The 18,378-nt window shown below is 39.8% G+C and overlaps 1 pseudogene, besides 1 other annotated feature; it reads left to right on the top strand.

The window, feature by feature from the left end:
- FNDC3CP (fibronectin type III domain containing 3C, pseudogene) lies at positions 591-5,032 on the top strand (annotated as a pseudogene).
- Positions 11,757-12,956: an enhancer, noted in NCBI's record as "CDK7 strongly-dependent group 2 enhancer chrX:77413269-77414468 (GRCh37/hg19 assembly coordinates)". NCBI's record gives its function as "activates an origin of replication core promoter dependent on BRD2, BRD4, P300/CBP, MED14 and CDK7 cofactors, with strong dependence on CDK7, by STARR-seq in HCT116 cells {active_cell/tissue: HCT116}" and the evidence as "EXISTENCE:reporter gene assay evidence [ECO:0000049][PMID:35650434]".

The following is an 18,378-nucleotide window of genomic DNA, read 5'->3' as shown; positions in this document are numbered from 1 at the left end:
TGTAAAGCAGCTGTAAATTACATTATGTATATTTTACCACAGTTTACATAAAGTAGATAAATGTTGAGAAGTGTTCTATGTTGCAAGTAACGTGCTAAGTGCTTTCACATTCATTATCTCATTAAATCCCCCCAAAGGAATGAGGCCGTCAAAGTAGAAATTATCTCCATTTTTTATATAGAGAAACTGAAGTTCAGAGAGACTAAGGGACTTGCTCAGAATCACCCAGATGGAAAATAAGTTGAAGTTGTAATGCAGGCTTGCCCAGTTCCAAAGTTCATTGTATTTCTAGGGTTTAGATTTTAAGCCGAAATACAATGGAGAAGACCTTTCATGCACTACAAGAAGTCTTCAGAGAAGTACTACATACAAGGGTATGTGGCTATACTTTATAAATTTGTGTCATATTTTAATATAAAATTATACTTTTCACCAGAGAAATGAGTATATTTTGTTTGAAATCAAACCTTATTTTGCATTTAGTTCTTAGAAATGCTCACTCAACTTACTTTATATTTGCAAACTGAACATTTTCAAATCAGACGTTTATTTGCAATGGTCAACCATATCATCCTCTTTTATTTAAACAGATCTTTGCCTGCAATATGGAAGGAAGAAGCAACAGCAGTGGAGAAGTAAAATATACAACCTGTCCAGATAAAACCGGATCCCCTAGAAAACCATATATAAAGGGAAAGGTCCATGCACACAGTGTAAAAATTGGATGGAGTAAGTAATGTTTTTGTATTTAAAATTTTCCCTCTGTCTTAATATTAACTATTGAGAAGAAATCTTCCTCTCATTGTCCTCAGCTTTATAAAATGTTCTTTTAGTCATTTATATGTGAGATATTCTGCCATATAAATGAGTTTAGTTGTAAACTATATTATTTTTCTAGTTCTCTCTTGCTATCTCATTAATTTGCAAATGAACACATTATTGAGCTTTATGTGTCCTTAAATAAGATTACATCTAATATGGAGGCCACAATTAGAAGGCCACATCAATGATAAATGTCAGCTTAAGAAATTATATTCATACAAATTATTTTCTCTCTAAACTAGAGAAATCAACTTTATGGCACATATACTTAGCTTTTCAATCTCTTGCAAATAACTTTACAATATTTATTTAAATGCTTCATTTCTAATATTCCAAACATGTAACTCGAATTATGTTTTTATTATCTTTATTAATATGTGGTTATTAATACACTATTGTTTCATGTTTATATTTTTTCCTCTGTGAAAAATGTTTCTTAACTCATGAGATAACATTCCAGTGGGAGACTTTTAAGTTTATTCAAGAATAATTTTGATTTTATTTCTCTTTTCAGAACCATCCAAAGATAATGGTGGAACATACATTTCAAGTTACAGTTTAGAAGTTAGTGAAAATTCAGATGGTAAGGCATCATGATTTTTAAAAATATTTTATTTTGAAACAATTTTAGACTCACTAGAAGTTGTAAAAAAAAAAAGGTATAGAGAGTTCCCATGTAAAATCTTCACTCAGCTTCTCCTAAGATTAATATTTTACATAACCATAGTACAATGATCAAAACTAGGAAATTGGCATTGAGATAATACTATCACCTAAACCCGAGAAATTACTTGAATTTCTGCAGTTTTTAGTAATAAATCATGTTTACTGACTGATATCTTACGATTTTATGGTTAATTCACGGGGCATATATTATTTTACTATTGAAATAGATAACTGGACCAACTTCATTTCCAAAATTGTTATTCTTAGTATATACATGAGATATCATGGAAACCGGTAACATTTATAAGCAAGCTGGGCACAGCGGCTCACGCCTGTAATCCCAACACTTTGGGAGACCAAGGCGGGTGGATTACTTGAGGTCAGGAGTTCAAGACCAGCCTAGCCAACATGGTGAAACCCCGTATCTACTAAAAATACAAAAATTAGCCAGGCTTGGTGGCGCAGGCTTGTAATCCCAGTTACTTGGGAGGCTGAGGCATGAGAATCGCTTGAACCCAGGAGGCAGAGGTTGCAGTGAGCCAAGATTACACCACTACACTCCAGCCTGGACGATAGAGCAAGACTCCGCTCAAAAAAAAATTTTTTTAAATAAGCTACCTATAAATAAATTGAATAAATTTGCTTTTATCCCTTCAGTGAATCTCTGAAACATAATTTACAGTGGCAACAAAGGAATTTCTACATAATCACCTGCAACATGATACTGCATATAAACTGAGAGTCTTTTATACCTCACTTATAGGCCAGACAGGTGAGAAAAGAAGGATGGAAAACATTTTAAATTGAAGACTGAAATGAGCTGTATCATATTACTAAATGTTTTACAAAACTGAACTTGAATCAGTACAGTCATAAGGTATTTTTTCTTTCTCTTAGCCTTCAGATATATTGACTATTCAAACACCTACTCTTTCTCCTGCATCTTGCTGTCCTCCACCCTTGAATGGTAAGACAAAGTCCAGAGAAACCAATCTCCTATGCAGTGAGGCTTCTTTGTGTGATTTGTATGACTAAGCCTACATTTCCTGTTTTGTAACTTTTGGTTTTTTATATATTAAATGATACTAAAGCAGAACCAGTGATTTTCTTTTAGAATATAATCAAATATTGGTCAGCCAATTGTTTCATTTTTTACTTTGTTCATTTTTTAGACTCCGGGTCTCACTCTGTCACCCGAGCTGGAGTGCACTGACAGTAATCATAGCTCATTGCAGCCTTGAACCCCTGGGCTCAAGCAAACCTCCCTCTTCAGCCTCCTGAGTAGCTGGGACTACAGGCATCCACTGTCATATCCAGCTACATTTTTTATTTTTTGTAGAAACAGGGTCTCACTTTGTTGCCCAGGCTGGTCATGAATTCCTGGCCTCAAGTGATCCTCCCACCTCATCCTCCCAAAGCACTGAGATTACAGGCAGGAGCCACCGAGCCTGGCCAGTTGTTTCTTACTTAGTAATTGAAACCACAAATTTTTTTGAAGTCTGTAAATAAAATTTAAAAATTAATTGACACAAATTACTACATTTTGAGTCTTCTGTTACTTTGTTTTAACAGTCTTCTCAAATTATTTTGTATAATTCTAGAGAAGCACCTTTAAAACTATTTACAAAATACTTTAAGTTTGATTTTGTATATTTTTATAGACAATTATCTTGCTAATGGAAACCCTGAAGAACTTGTATATGTCAAAAAAGCAAACGGTAACCAAGATGACACACAAGGGCACCCTGGCTCTGACGTGAAATACAGATTGAGTAAATTAATTCCCGTAGAATCCACAGTTTCTAGTTAAAAACAGCAAATAGGGATAGAGAAGTTATATTGTTAAGTTGTCCCATTTGTAGTCCATTTCACTTTGGATGGATATATGCTGCTACTTCCCGTCAAGGTGGGAAGTGATCATGCCTGCACAATCATTTGTATGTTTGCTTATTTGTTTGTTTGTAGTTTGGATCTTTCAATGAAGTGTGAAACCGCCATCAGTCCCAGGCCCTCCTTCTCAATGTGGTACACCTGTACTAACCTGAAAGGGTCCAAACTGTGCTGTTGTTAGTTGGGGAGTATGTTATCAATGTATTGTTATTAACTTATGATTATTATAAAAGCACAGTAATTTTTTTAGAACCTTTTTTGGAAACTCTGGAACTCCCTAAGGAGTCAGAGTTTAGAATTAGAATCTCACAAATCTTGGATCATGGTTTCTGGAACACACCTAGAACGTAATACTAATGGTATTAGGAAGGCTATAGCAATACTAATCCTGCCCTACAGAGCCTATATTTGAGGAAAGTAATACATTTGGAAAACCAAGTAGAATATCAATAGGTCACTAATTTAATTTTTAAAACTAAAATAAGAGATAAAGTTAAATCAATTTATAGAACTTAGCATTTTTTAAAGCTTCATTGGGAAATCTCTGGTCATGTTTGCTTGCATGTAACTATACAGTATGACACATAAGAAATGTGGCTATAAGTTAATGAAGCTTTAAAAAAAAAAAAACTTTTGGTCAGGCGCAGTGGCTCACACCTGTAATCCCTGCACTTTGGGAGGCCGAGGCAGGCGGATCACCTGAGGTCAGGAGTTCAAGACAGCCTGACCAACATGGAGAAACCCTGTCTCTACTAAAAATACAAAATTACCCGGGCGTGGTGGCGCATGCCTGTAATCCCAGCTACTCGGGAGGCTGAGGCAGGAGAATCACTAAATCACTTGAACCCTGGAGGCGGAGGTTGCGGTGGGCCAAGATGGCACCATTGCACTCCAACCTGGGCAACAAGAACAAAAATCCATCTCAAAAAAAAATAACTAAATAACTTTTTTACATCCATGTAAATATTTTCCCATTCAAACAAAGCTCTTAAAAAAATGACCTAATTATTTAGCCACGTAAGTATCTTTAAATTTTTCTTCCCTTTTCCCCAGACTCTAGCAGGGTATGTGTAGCGTTAACAAAAAGCCTTAGTCTCTTAATAATAGATGACAGGTATGATTATATCACTGTATCACTGTATAAATACCAGAGAATACTGGGGTTTGTGTTTCATCCCAGTAACCAATAGTAATATAAAGCAACATTAGTATATATGTTTGCTGTTTTTTAAGTAACTCACTTAAAAATAATTTTAATAAATTTTTAAAAAGCATTCATCTAATATGTGAATTAGATGATCCTTTTTCTTAATTTTATTTGAGCCTTTTAATGTTAATTATAGTATACTGCCTTATGCTTAACTATTTCTACACTTGTCTGTATCTCATAGCATTTAATAGATTATAAGCTTTGGCACTGAAAGGATCATGTTGTAACTCTCGACAGTATCTAGTATAGTGACTACCTAGAGAAAGAGCTCAATTTCTCTACTGCATCTTTCAGATTCCTGTGTGCAATGGTGCTGAAATCACTGATTACAGGCTAGAGTGTGGACAAATTGAAAAATCAGTGCACTTGATTTACACAGGCCCTTGCTTGAGCTATGAAGTTAAAGGTCTCATTCCTGCAACTACATATTTTTGCAGAGTCCAGGTAAACCTGACAGTTCCTCCAATGTAAACAAGACAACAGCTCATAACCTATGCTATCCACAGTCATAATACTGGCAGCATTTCCAGTGTGGAAACCAGAAGATAATCACAGACTTCCAAATGTTAGCTATTGCTCATATTCGGTGACAACATTCTGAGCTGCTGCACCTGGCATTGAAAGTCTTACATAATCTAGCTCCTACTTTCCATTCCACCTTGATCTGCCATTATTCTCTCTACAGTTCTGTGTTTCCCAAATTTCCCTGAACCTAAGAATCATCTGATATGCTTGTTAAAAACACTGACTCCTATACCCTCACTCAGACCTATTGAATCAAAATTTCTAATCCAGAGGTTTGCTAATCTGTATATTTAACAAGCACCCAAAATGATAATTATCATCAATTAGGAAAAACTGCATGAACTCTCTATTCCAAACAAATAAGTCTACTCCAACATCACCACTAACAAATATGCTATGTGCATTTGTTCATACTGTGCTCTCTGCCTATCTTGTTCCTTAAAACCAAGCTCTTGTATAAATGTTTCCCTGATAACCAAAATGGAAGTGATCTCTTCCTCTTCTGAACTACTAGAACTGTAAGATTCATAACCCGAACCCTGATACTTGACATCTGATGTCCATCCCTCAGATTGCCTTTCATAACTGAAAGTTGTCTTTTTTTAAAAAAAATCCTTTGTCAGATTTGTTGGGTGTCACTATTTTTTGTGTTGGAAAAAATGCTGTCACAATATATATTTATTAATTAGGAGGCCATTGCAATAGCCCAAAGGATAGGTGATGAAAGAAGACATACAAATGGCCAACAGGTATATTTTTAAATGCTCAACATTAGCAAATCAAAACCACAATAAGATATCATCTTAAACCAGTAAGAAGGCTATAATTAAAAAGACAAAGAAGGCCAGGCTTGATGGCTCATGCCTGTAATCCCAGCTTTTTGGGAGGTTGAGGTGGGAGGATTCCTTGAGCCCAGGAGTTCAAAATCAGCCTGGGCTCTGCTGACTGTTCCTTTTGCCATGCAAAAGCTCTTTAGTTTACTTAGGTCCCAGCTATTTATCTTTGTTTTTATTGCAATTGCTTTTGGGTTTTTCATCATGAAATCCTTGCCTAAGCCAATGTCTAGAAGGGTTTTTCCAATGTTATCCTCTAGAATTTTTATAGTTTCAGGTCTTAGGTTTAAGTCCTTAATCCATCTTGAGTTGATTTTTGTATAATGTGAGAGATAAGGGATCCAGTTTCATTCTCCTACATGTAGCTAGCCAATTATCTCAGCAGCATTTGTTGAAAAGGGAGTCCTTTCCCCACGTTATGTTTTTGTTTGCTTTGTCAAAGATCAGTTGGCTGTAAGAATTTGGCTTTATTTCTGGATTCCCTATTCTGTTCCATTGGTCTATGTGTGTATTTTTATATCAGTCCCATGCTGTTTTGGTGACTACAACCTTATAGTATAGTTTGAAATCAGGCAGTGTTATGCCTCTGGATTTGTTCTTTTTGCTTAGTCTTGCTTTGGTTATGCAGGCTCTTTTTTGGTTCCATATGAATTTTAGAATTGCTTTTTCTAACTCTGTGAAGAATGATGGTGGTATTTTGATGGGGATTGCATTAAATTTCTAGATTGCTTTTGGCAGTATGGTCATTTTCACAATATTGATTCTACCCATCCATGAGTATGGGATGTTTTGTGTCATCTGATTCTTTTAGCAATGCTTTGTAGTTTTCCATGTAGAGGACTTTTGGCTCCTTTGTTAGGTATTTTTTTTTTTTTTTTTTTTTTGCAGCTATTGTAAAAGGGGTCAAGTTCTTGATTTGATTCTCTGCTTGGTCACTGTTGGTGTATAGAAGAGCTACTGATTTGTGTACATTAATCTTGTATCCAGAAACTTCGGTGATTTTTTTTTTTTTTTTTGAGATGGAGTTTCAGTCTTGTCACCCAGACTGGAGTGCAGTGGTGCAATCTCAGCTCACTGCAACCTCCACCTCCCAGGTTCAAGCGATTCTCCTGCCTCAGCCTCCCAAGTAGCTGGGATTACAAGTGTGCATGACGACGCCTGGCTAATTTTTGTATTTTCAGTAGAGACAGGGTTTCACCACGTTGGCCAGGCTGGTCTCGAACTCCTGACCTCAGGTGATCCACCTGCCTTGGCCACCCAAAGTGCTAGGATTACAGGCATGAGCCACCGCGCCCACTCTGCTGAATTCTTTTATCAGTTCTAGGAGCTTTCTGGAGGAGTCCTTAGGGTTTTCAAGGTAAACTATCATATCATCAGGAAACAGGGACAGTTTGACTTCCTCTTTACTGATTAGGATGCCTTTTATCTCTTTCTCTTGTTGGATTGCTCTGGCTAAGACTCCCAGTATTATGTTGAAGAGGAGTAGTGTGAGTGGGCATCCTTGTCTTGTTCCCGTTCTCAGGGGGAATGCTTTGAACTTTTCCCCATTCAGTATCATGTTGGCTGTGGGTTTGTCATAGACAGCTTTTATTACATTAAGGTATGCCCCTTGTATGCCGATTTTGCTGAGAGTTTTGATCATAAAGTGATGCTGCACTTTGTTGAATGCTTTTTCTGCATCTATTGTGATGATCATGTGATGTTTGTTTTAAATTGTTTATGTGGTGAATCACATTTATTGACTTGTGTATGTTAAACCATCCCTGCATCCCTGGTATGAAACCCACTTGATCACGGTGGATTATCTTTTTGATATGTTGTCAGATTCGGTGAGCTAGTATTTTGTTAAGGATTTTAGCATTCATGTTCATCAAGGATATCAGTACGTAGTTTTCTTTTTTGGTTGTATCCTTTCCCGGTTTTGGTATTAGGGTAATGCTGGCCTCATAAAATGAATTAGGGAGGGTTCCTTCTTTCTCTATCATGTGGAATAGTGTCAAAAGGATTGGCACCAATTCTTCTTTGAATGTCTGGTCGAATTCTGCTGTGAATCCATCTGGTCCTGGACTTTTTTTTGTTGGTAATTTTTAAATTAACATTTCAATCTCACTGCTTGTTATTGGTCTGTTCAGGGTATCTAATTCTTGCTGATTTAAGCTAGGAGGGTTGTATTTTTTCCAAGAATTTATCCATCTCTTGTAGGTTTTCTAGTTTATGTGCGTAAAGCTGTTCATAGCAGCCTTGAATGATCTTTTGTATTTTGGTGGTGTCAGTTGTAATATCTCCTGTTTCGTTTCTCAGTGGAGTTATTTGGATTTTCTCTCTTCTTTTCTTGGTTAATCTTACTAATGGTCAATCAATCTTATTTATCTTTTCAAAGAACCAGCTTTTTGTTTCATTTATCTTTCACACTTTTTTTTTGTTTGTTTCCATTTCATTTAGTTCTGCTCTGATCTTGGTTACTTCCTTTCTTCTGCTGGTTTTGGTTTGCTCTTGTTTCTCTAGCTCCTTGAGGCATGACCTTAGATTGTCTGTTTGTGCTCTTTCAGACTTTTTGATGTAGGTGTTTAGGGCTATGAACTTTCCTCTTAGCACCATATTAGCTGTATCCCAGAGGTTTTGATAGGTTGTGTCATTATTGTCATTCAGTGTGAAAAAGAAAATTTTTTTTTTAAGACAGAGTCTCACTCTGTCACCCAGACTGCAGTGCAGTGGCACGATCTCGGCTCACTGCAACTTTCACCTCCCAGGTTCAAGCAATTCTCATGCCTCAGCCTCCCAAGTAGCTGGGAATACAGGCACCCACCACCACACCTGGCTAATTTTTGTATTTTTAGCAGAGATGGAGTTTACCATGTTGGTCAAGCTGGTCTCGAGAACTCCTGACCTCAGGTGATCCGCCCACCTCCATCTCCCAAAGTGCTGGGATTACAGGCGTGAGCCACCACGCCTGTCCTGAAAATTTTAATTTCCATCTTGATTTCATTTTTGACCCAATGCTCATTCAGGAGCAGGTTATTTAATTTCCATGTATTTGCATGGCTTTGAGGGTTCCCTTTGGAGTTGATTTCCAGTTCTATTCCACTGTGGTCTGAGAGAGTGCTTGATATAAGTTCAATTTTTAAAAATTTATTGAGGCTCGTTTTATGGTCTTTCATGTTGTCTATCTTGGAGAAATTTCCACAGGCTGTTGAATAGAACGTGTATCCTGTGGTTGTTGGATGAAGTGATCTGTATATATCTGTTAGGTCCATTTGTTCCAAGGTATAGTTTAAATCCATTGTTTCTTTGTTGACTTTCTGTCTTGATGACCTGTCTAGTACTGTCAGTGGAGTACTGAAGTCTCCCGCTATTATTGTGTTACTGTCTATCTCATTTCTTAGGTCTATTAGTAATTGTTTTATACATTTGGGAGGTCCAGTGTTAGGTGTATGTATGTTTAGGATTGTGATATTTTCCTGTTGGATAGGCCTTCTACCATTATATAATGTCCCCCTTTGTCTCTTTTAACCACTGTTGCTTTAAAGTTTGTTTTGTCTGATATAAGAATAGCTACTCCTGCTTGATTTTGGTGTCCATTTGCATGAAATGCGTTTTTCCACCCCTTTACTTTAAGTTTATGTAAGTCCTTATTGTCAGGCCTCTGAGCCTAAGCTAAGCCATCATATCCCCTGTGACCTGCACATACACATCCAGATGGCCGGTTCCTGCCTTAACTGATGACATTCCACCATAAAAGAAGTGAAAATGGCCCCTCCTTGCCTTAACTGATAACATTCCACCATAAAAGAAGTGAAAATGGCTGGTCCTTGCCTTAAGTGATGACATTACCTTGTGAAATTCCTTTTCCTGGCTCATCCTGGCTCAGAAAAGCTCCCCCACTGAGCACCTTGTTACACCCACTCCTTCCCGCCAGAGAACAACCCTGCTTTGACTGTAATTTTCCTTTACCTACCCAAATCTTATAAAAGAACCCCACCCCTATCTCCCTTCACTGACTCTCTGTTCAGACTCAGCCCGCCTGCACCCAGGTGATTAAAAAGCTTTATCGCTCACACAAAGCCTGTTTGGTGGTCTCTTCACATGGATGTGAATGAAACTTATGTGTTAGGTGAGTCTTCTTAAGGCAGCAGATAGTTGGTTGGTGAGTTCTTATCCATTCTGCAGTTCTGTATCTTTTAAGTAGAGCATTTAGGCCATTTATGAATGTTAGTATTGAAATGTGAAGTACCATTGCATTCATCATGCTCTTTGTTACCTGCGTCCTTTGTTTTTTGTTTTTTAACTTGAATTTTTGTTTTATAGGTCCTGTGTACTTTATGCTTTAAAGTATTCTGTTTCGATGTGTTTCCAGGATTGTTTCAAGATTTAGAGCTCCTTTTAGCAGTTCTTGTAGTGGTGGCTTGGTAACGGCAAATTCTCTCAGCATTTGTTTATCTGAAAATGATTATATCTTTTCTTCATATATGATGCCTAGTTTTGCTGGACACAAAATTCTTGGCTGAAGATTGTTTTGTTTGAGGAGGTTAAAGATAGGGCCCCAATCCTTTCTAGCTTGTAGGGTTTCTGCTGAGAAGTCTACTGTTAATCTGACAGGTTTTTCTTTATAGGTTACCTGGTGCTGTGTCTCGCAGCTCTTAAGATTCTTTCCTTGGTCTTAAGTTTGGATAACCTGATGACAATTTGCCTAGGTGAAGATGTTTTTGTGATGAATTTTCCAGGTGTTCTTTGTGCTTCTTATGTTTGCATATCTAGGTCTCTAGCAAGGCTGGGGAAGTTTTCCTTGATTATCCCCCCCAAAATGTTTTTCCAAGCTTTTAGAATTCTCTTCTTCCTCATGAATACCAATTATTCTTAGGTTTGGTGAATTAACATAATCCCAAACTTCTTGGAGGTTTTGTTCATATTTCCTTGTTCTTTTTTCTTTGTCTTTGTTGGATTGGGTTAATTTGAAGACCTTGTCTTCGAGCTCTGAATTTCTTTCTCCTACTTGTTCAATTCTATTGCTGAGACTTTCCAGAGCATTTTGCATTTCTAAAAGTGTGTCCAAAGTCTCCTGAATTTTTGTTTTTTCTTTAAGTTATCTATTTTGTTGAATATTTCTCCCTTCACTTCTTGTATCGTTTTTTGAATTTCCTTGCATTGGGCTTTGCTTTCTCTGGTACCTCCCTTATCAGCTTAATAACTAATCTCCTGAATTCTTTTTCAGGTAAGTCAGGGATTTCTTCTTGGTTTGGATCCATTGCTGTTAAACTAGTGTGATTTTTGGGGGGTGTTAATGAGCCTTGTTTTGTCATATTACCAGGGTTGCTTTTCTGGTTCCTTCCCATTGGGGTGGGCTCTGTCAGAGGGAAGGTCTAGGGCTGAAGGCTGTTGTTCAGATTTTTTTGTCCCACTGAGTATTCCCTTGATGTAGTGCTCATCCCCTTTTCCTGTGATTGTGGCTTTCTGTGAGCTGAACTGCAGTGATTATTGTCCCTCTTCTGGGTCTAGCCACCCAGCGAGTCTACCCAGCTCCTTGCTGGTTCTGTGGGTTTCTGCAGAGTCCTGTGATGTGAACCATCTATGGGTCTCTCAACTGAATACCAGCACCTGTGCTGATAAAGGTGGTGAAGGCTGCAAGAACCCTCCGTGAGTGTTCTTAGCTTTAGTGGTTTAATGCTCTATTTTTGTGCTGGTTGACCTCCTGCCAGGAGGTGATGCTTTCCAGAAAGCATTAGCTGTAGTAGTGTGAAGAGGGACCAGCTGTGGGCAGGGCCCTAGAACTCCCAAGATTACATGTCCTTTGTCTTCCACTATCAGGGTGGGTAGGGAAGGACCATCAGGTGGGGGCAGGGCTAGGTGTGTCTGAGCTCAGACTCTCCTTGAGGGGGTCTTGCTGCGGCTACTGTGGGGGATGGGGTAAGGTTCCCAGGTCACTGGAGTTGTGTACCTAGGAGGATTAGGGCTGCCTCTGCTGAGTCATGTAGGTTGTCAGGGAAGTGGGGAAAAGCCAGCAGTCACAGGCCTTACCCAGCTCCAACCCAACCGAAGGGCTGGTCTCACTTCCACCGTGCTACCCGCAACAGCCCCAAGTCTCTTTCCAGGTGGACAGGCTTGAAAGCTTGCCCGAGGCTTCCACCTCCCATCCGCCGAAGAAAAGGACTTTAGTTCTTCCCCCCACCTGTGAAGTCTGTAAGCCGGATTCACGCCCTCCCCTGAGTTCTGGCTAGGAGAATTCTCACCATGTTCAAATTGTTGCAGAGTTCAGCTAGGGAAGTCCTTCTCCCTGGTGGGGTCTTACCTCCTGCTCCTCTGGCCTCCCTCCTGATGGATCCCTGTGGTGTCAGGCAGGAATAGGCTGCTTGGGGATTCAGCAAGCTCCCAGGGCCTCCCTGCTGCCTCTTCCACCCCTGTATTTCACTCGGCTCTGCTAACTTGAATCAGCTCCAGATAAAGTCTGGAAAGTCTCTCATTAAAAGACCTTCAAACTCTCCAGTGGGGGTATGTGTTCCGGAAAGGAGGGTCTCCCTTTCCCACTTCCACAGTTAGGGCACTCACAGTATTTGGGGTGTCTCCTGGGTCCTGCAGGAGCAGTCTTCTTCCTTCAGAGGGTCTGTGGGTCTTCTCAGAATTGCTGTTTTGTCCTTGCAGTCGATCTGGAGCTAAAATTCACAATGCAAGCCTCCACAATGCTGCTCTATCCAGAACTGCAATCTATCCCTGCCTCTCATCTGCCATGATCCGCCCTCTCTCAAGAAAAGTAAACTCTAGGGGGTGGAGCCAAGATAGCCGAATAGGAACAGCTCCAGTCTACAGCTCCCAGCATAAGCGACGCAGAAAACGGGTGATTTCTGCATTTCCAACTGAGGTACCGGGTTCATCTCACTGGGGAGTGTGGGAAAGCGGGTGCAGGACAGTGGGGGCAGCACATCGAGCATGAGCCAAAGCAGGGCGAGGCATCGCCTCCCCCGGGAAGTGCAAGGGGTCAGGGAATTCCCTTTTTCTTAGTCAAAGGGATGACAGACGGCATCTGGAAAGTCGGGTCACTCCCACCCTAATAATGCACTTTTCCAACAGTCTCAGCAAACAGCACACCAGGAGATTATATCCCACACAAGGCTCAGAGGGTCCTACGCCCCTGGAGCCTTGCTCATTGCTAGCACAGCAGTCTGAGATCAAACTGCAAGTGGCAGTGAGGCTGGGGGAGGGGTGCCTGCCATTGCCAAGGCTTGAGGAGGTAAACAAAGTGTCCAGGAAGCTCAAACTGGGTGGAGCCCACCACAGCTCAAGGAGGCCTGCCTGTCTCTGTAGACTCCACCTCTAGGGGCATGGCATAGCCAAACAAAAGGCAGCAGAATCCTCTGCATACTTAAATGTCCCTGTCTGACAGCATTGAAGAGAGTAGTGGTTCTCCCAGCATGCAGCTGGAGATCTGAGAATGGACAGACTGCCTCCCAAGTGGGTCCCTGACCCCCGAGTAGCCTAACTGGTAGGCACCCCCCAGTAGGGGCAGACTGACACCTCACATGGCCAGGTACTCCTCTGAGACAAAACTTCCCGAGGAACGATCAGGCAGCAACATTTGCTGTTCACCAATATCCACTGTTCTGCAGCCTCCACTGCCAATACCCAGGCAAACAGGGTCTGGAGTGGACTTCCAGCAAACTCCAACAGACCTGCAGCTGAGGGTCCTGACTGTTAGAAGGAAAACTAACAAAGAGAAAGGACATACACACCAAAACCCCATCTGTACGTCACCATCATCAAAGACCAAAGGCAGATAAAACCACAAAGATGGGGAAAAAAACAGAGCAGGAAAACTAGAACCTCTAAAAATCAGAGCACCTCTCCTCCTCCAAAGGAATGCAGCTCCACACCAACAATGGAACAGATTCACCAAAGTTGAAATGAAGGAAAAAATGTTAAGGGCAGCCAGAGAGAAAAGTCGGGTTACCCACAAAGGGAAGCCCATCACACTAACAGCTGATCTCTTGGCAGAAACTCTACAAGCCAGAAGAGAGTGCAGGCCAATATTCAACATTCTTAAAGAAAAGAATTTTCAACCCAGAATTTCATATCCAGCCAAACTAAGCTTCACAAGTGAAGGAGAAACAAAATCCTTTACACACAAGCAAATGCTGAGAGATTTTGTCACCACCAGGCCTGCCCTAAAAGAGCTCCTGAAGGAAGCACTAAACATGGAAAGGAACGACTGGGACCAGCCACTGCAAAAACATGCCAAATTGTAAAGACCATCGAGGCTAGGAAGAAACTGCATCAACTAATGAGCAAAATAATCAGCTAACATCATAATGACAGGATCAAATTCACACATAACAATATTAACCTTAAATGTAAATGGCTTAATTGCTCCAATTAAAAGACACAGACTGGCAAATTGGATAAAAAATCAAGACCCATCAGTGTGCTGTATTCAGGAAACCCATCTCACACGCAGAAATACACATAAGCTCAAAATAAAGGGATGGAGGAAGATCTACCAAGCAAATGGAAAACAAAAAAGGCAGGGGTTGCAATCCTAGTCTCTGATAAAGCAGACTTTAAACCAAAAAAGATCAAAAGAGACAAAGAAGGCCATTACATAATGGCAAAGGGATCAATTCAACAAGAAGAACTAACTATCCTAAATATATATGCACCCAATACAGGAGCACCCAGATTCATAAGGCAAATCCTTAGAGACCTACAAAGAGACTTAGACTCCCACACAATAATAATGGGAGACTTTAACACCCCACTGTCAACATTAGACAGACCAATGAGGCAGAAAGTTAACAAGGATATCCAGGAATTGAACTCAGCTCTGCACCAAGCGGACCTAGTAGACATCTACAGAACTCTCCACCCCAAATCAACAGAATATACATTCTTTTCAGCACCACACCACACCTATTCCAAAACTGACCACATAGTTGGAAGTAAAGCACTCCTCAGCAAATGTAAAAGAACACAAATTACAACAAACTGTCTCTCAGACCACACTGCAATCAAACTAGAACTCAGGATTAAGAAACTCACTCAAAATCGCTCAACTACATGGAAACTGAACAACCTGCTCCTGAATGACTACTGGGTACATAACGAAACGAAGGCAGAAATAAAGATGTTTTTTGAAACCAACAAGAACAAAGACACAACATACCACAATCTCTGGGACACATTCAAAGCAGTGTGTAGAGCGAAATTGATAGCACTAAATGCCCACAAGAGAAAGCAGGAAAGATCTAAAATTGACACCCTAACATCACAATTAAAAGAACTAGAGAAGCAAGAGCAAACACATTCAAAAGCTAGCAGAAGGCAAGAAATAATTAAGATCAGAGCAGAACTGAAGGAAATGGAGACACAAAAAGCCCTTCAAAAAATCAACGAATCCAGGAGCTGGTTTTTTGAAACGATCAACAAAATTGATAGGCCACTAGCAAGACTAATAAAGAAGAAAACAGAGAAGAATCAAATAGATGCAATAAAAAAATGATAAAGGGGATATCACCACTGATCCCACAGAAATGCAAACTACCATCAGAGAATACTACAAACACCTCTATGCAACCAAACTAGAAAATCTAGAAGAAATGGATAAATTCCTCGACACATACACCCTCCCAAGACTAAACCAGGAAGAAGTTGAATCTCTGAATAGACCAATAACAGGCTCTGAAATTGAGGCAATAATTAATAGCTTACCAACCAAAAAAAGTCCAGGACCAGATGGATTCACAGCCGAATTCTACCAGAGGTAGAAGGAGGAGCTGGTACCATTCCTTCTGAAACTATTCCAATCAATAGAAAAAGAGGGAATCCTCCCTAACTCATTTTATGAGGCCAGCATCATCCTGATACCAAAGCCTGGCAGAGACACAAAAAAACAAGAGAATTTTAGACCAATATCCCTGATGAACACAGACGTAAAAGTCCTCAATAAAATACTGGCAAACCGAATCCAGCAGCACATCAAAAAGCTTATTCACCATGATCAAGTGGGCTTCATCCCTAGGATGCAAGGCTGGTTCAATATATGCAAATCAACATATATAATCCACCATATGAACAGAACCAACAACAAAAACCATATGATTATCTCAATAGATGCAGAAAAGTCCTTTGACAAAATTCAACAGCCCTTCATGCTAAAAACTCTCAATAAATTAGGTATTGATGGGAAGTATCTCAAAATAATAAGAGCTATCTATGACAAATCCACAACCAACATCATACTGAATGGGAAAAAACTGGAAGCATTCCCTTTGAAAACTGGCACAAGACAGGGATGCCCTCTCTCACCACTCCTATTCAACATAGTGTTGGAAGTTCTGGCCAGGGCAATCAGGCAGGAGAAGGAAATAAAGGGTATTCAATTAGGAAAAGAGGAAGTCAAATTGTCCCTGTTTGCAGATGACATGATTGTATATCTAGAAAACCCCATCATCTCAGCCCAAAATCTCCTTAAGCTGATAGGCAACTTCAGCAAAGTCTCAGGATACAAAATCAATGTACAAAAATCACAAGCATTCTTATACACCAATAACAGACAAACAGAGAGCCAAATCATGAGTGAACTCCCACTCACAATTGCTTCAAAGAGAATAAAATACCTAGGAATCCAACTTACAAGGGATGTGAAGGACCTCTTCAAGGAGAACTACAAACCACTGCTCAAGGAAATAAAAGAGGATACAAACAAATGGAAGAACATTCCATGCTCATGGGTAGGAAGAATCAAGATCGTAAAAATGGCCACACTGCCCAAGGTAATTTATAGATTCAATGCCATCCCCATCAAGTTACCAATGACTTTCTTCACAGAATTGGAAAAAACTTCTTTAAAGTTCATATGGAATCAAAAAAGAGCCTGCATTGCCAAGTCAATCCTAAGCCAAAAGAACAAAACTGGAGGCATCACGCTACCTGACTTCAAACTATACTACAAGGCTACAGTAACCAAAGCAGCATGGTACTGGTACCAAAACAGAGATATAGACCACTGGAACAGAATAGAACCCTCAGAAATAATGCCGCATATCTACAACTATCCAATCTTTGACAAACTTGACAAAAACAAGAAATGGGGAAAGGATTCCCTATTTAATAAATGGTGCTGGGAAAACTGGCTAGCCAGATGTAGAAAGCTGAAACTGGATCCCTTCCTTACACGTTATACAAAAATTAATTGAAGATGGATTAAAGACTTAAATGTTAGTCCTAAAACCATAAAATCCCTAGAAGAAAACCTAGGCAATACCATTCAGGACATAGGCATGGGCAACGACTTCATGACTAAAACACAAAAAGCAATGGCAACAAAAGACAAAATTGACAAATGGGATCTAATTCAACTAAAGAGCTTCTGCACAGCAAAAGAAACTACCATCAGAGTGAACAGGCAACGTACAGAATGGGAGAAAATTTTTGCAATCTACTCATCTGACCAAGGGCTAATATCCAGAATCTACAATGAACTCCAACAAATTTACAAGAAAAAAACAAACAACCCCATCAGAAAGTGGGCGAAGGATATGAACAGACACTTCTCAAAAGAAGACATTTATGCAGCCAAAAGACACATGAAAAAATGCTCATCATCACTGGCCATCAGAGAAATGCAAATCAAAACCACAATGAGATACCATCTCACACCAGTTAGAATGGCGATCATTAAAAAATCAGGAAACAACAGGTGCTGGAGAGCATGTGGAGAAATAGGAACACTTTTACACTGTTGGTGGGACTGTAAACTAGTTCAACCATTGTGGAAGTCAGTGTGGCGATTCCTCAGGGATCTAGAACTAGAAATACCATTTGGCCCAGCCATCCCATTACTGGGTATATACCCAAAGGATTATAAATCATGCTGCTATAAAGATGCATGCACATGTATATTTATTGCAGCACTATTCACAATAGCAAAGACTTGGCACCAAGCCCAATGTCCAAGAATGATAGACTGGATTAAGAAAATGTGGCACATATACACCATGGAATACTATGCAGCCACAAAAAGGATGAGTTCATGTCCTTTGTAGGTACATGGATGAAGCTGGAAACCATCCTTCTCAGCAAACTATTGCAAGGACAAAAAACCAAACACCGCATGTTCTCACTCATAGGTGGGAATTGAACAGTTAGAACACATGGACACAGGAAGGGGAACATCACACACCTGGGCCTGTTGTGGGGTGGGGGGAGTGGGGAGGGACAGCATTAGGAGATATACCTAATGTTAAATGACGAGTTAATGGGTGCAGCACACCAACATGGCACATGTATACATAGGTAACAAACCTGCACGTTGTGCACATGTACCCTAAAACTTAAAGTATACTAAAAAAAAAACTGAAAAAAAAAGAAAAGTAAACTCTATACACTGCTCATAGAAACACAAATTATTAAAGCCACTATGGAAAACAGTATGGATATTTCTCAAAAAAA

The sequence above is a fragment of the Homo sapiens genome, chromosome X, assembly GCF_000001405.40.
Source record: "Homo sapiens chromosome X, GRCh38.p14 Primary Assembly".
Classification (NCBI taxonomy): Eukaryota; Metazoa; Chordata; class Mammalia; order Primates; family Hominidae; genus Homo; species Homo sapiens.
The sequence above is the reverse complement of the archived record's forward strand: the minus strand, read 5'-3'. Positions and strand labels throughout refer to the sequence as shown.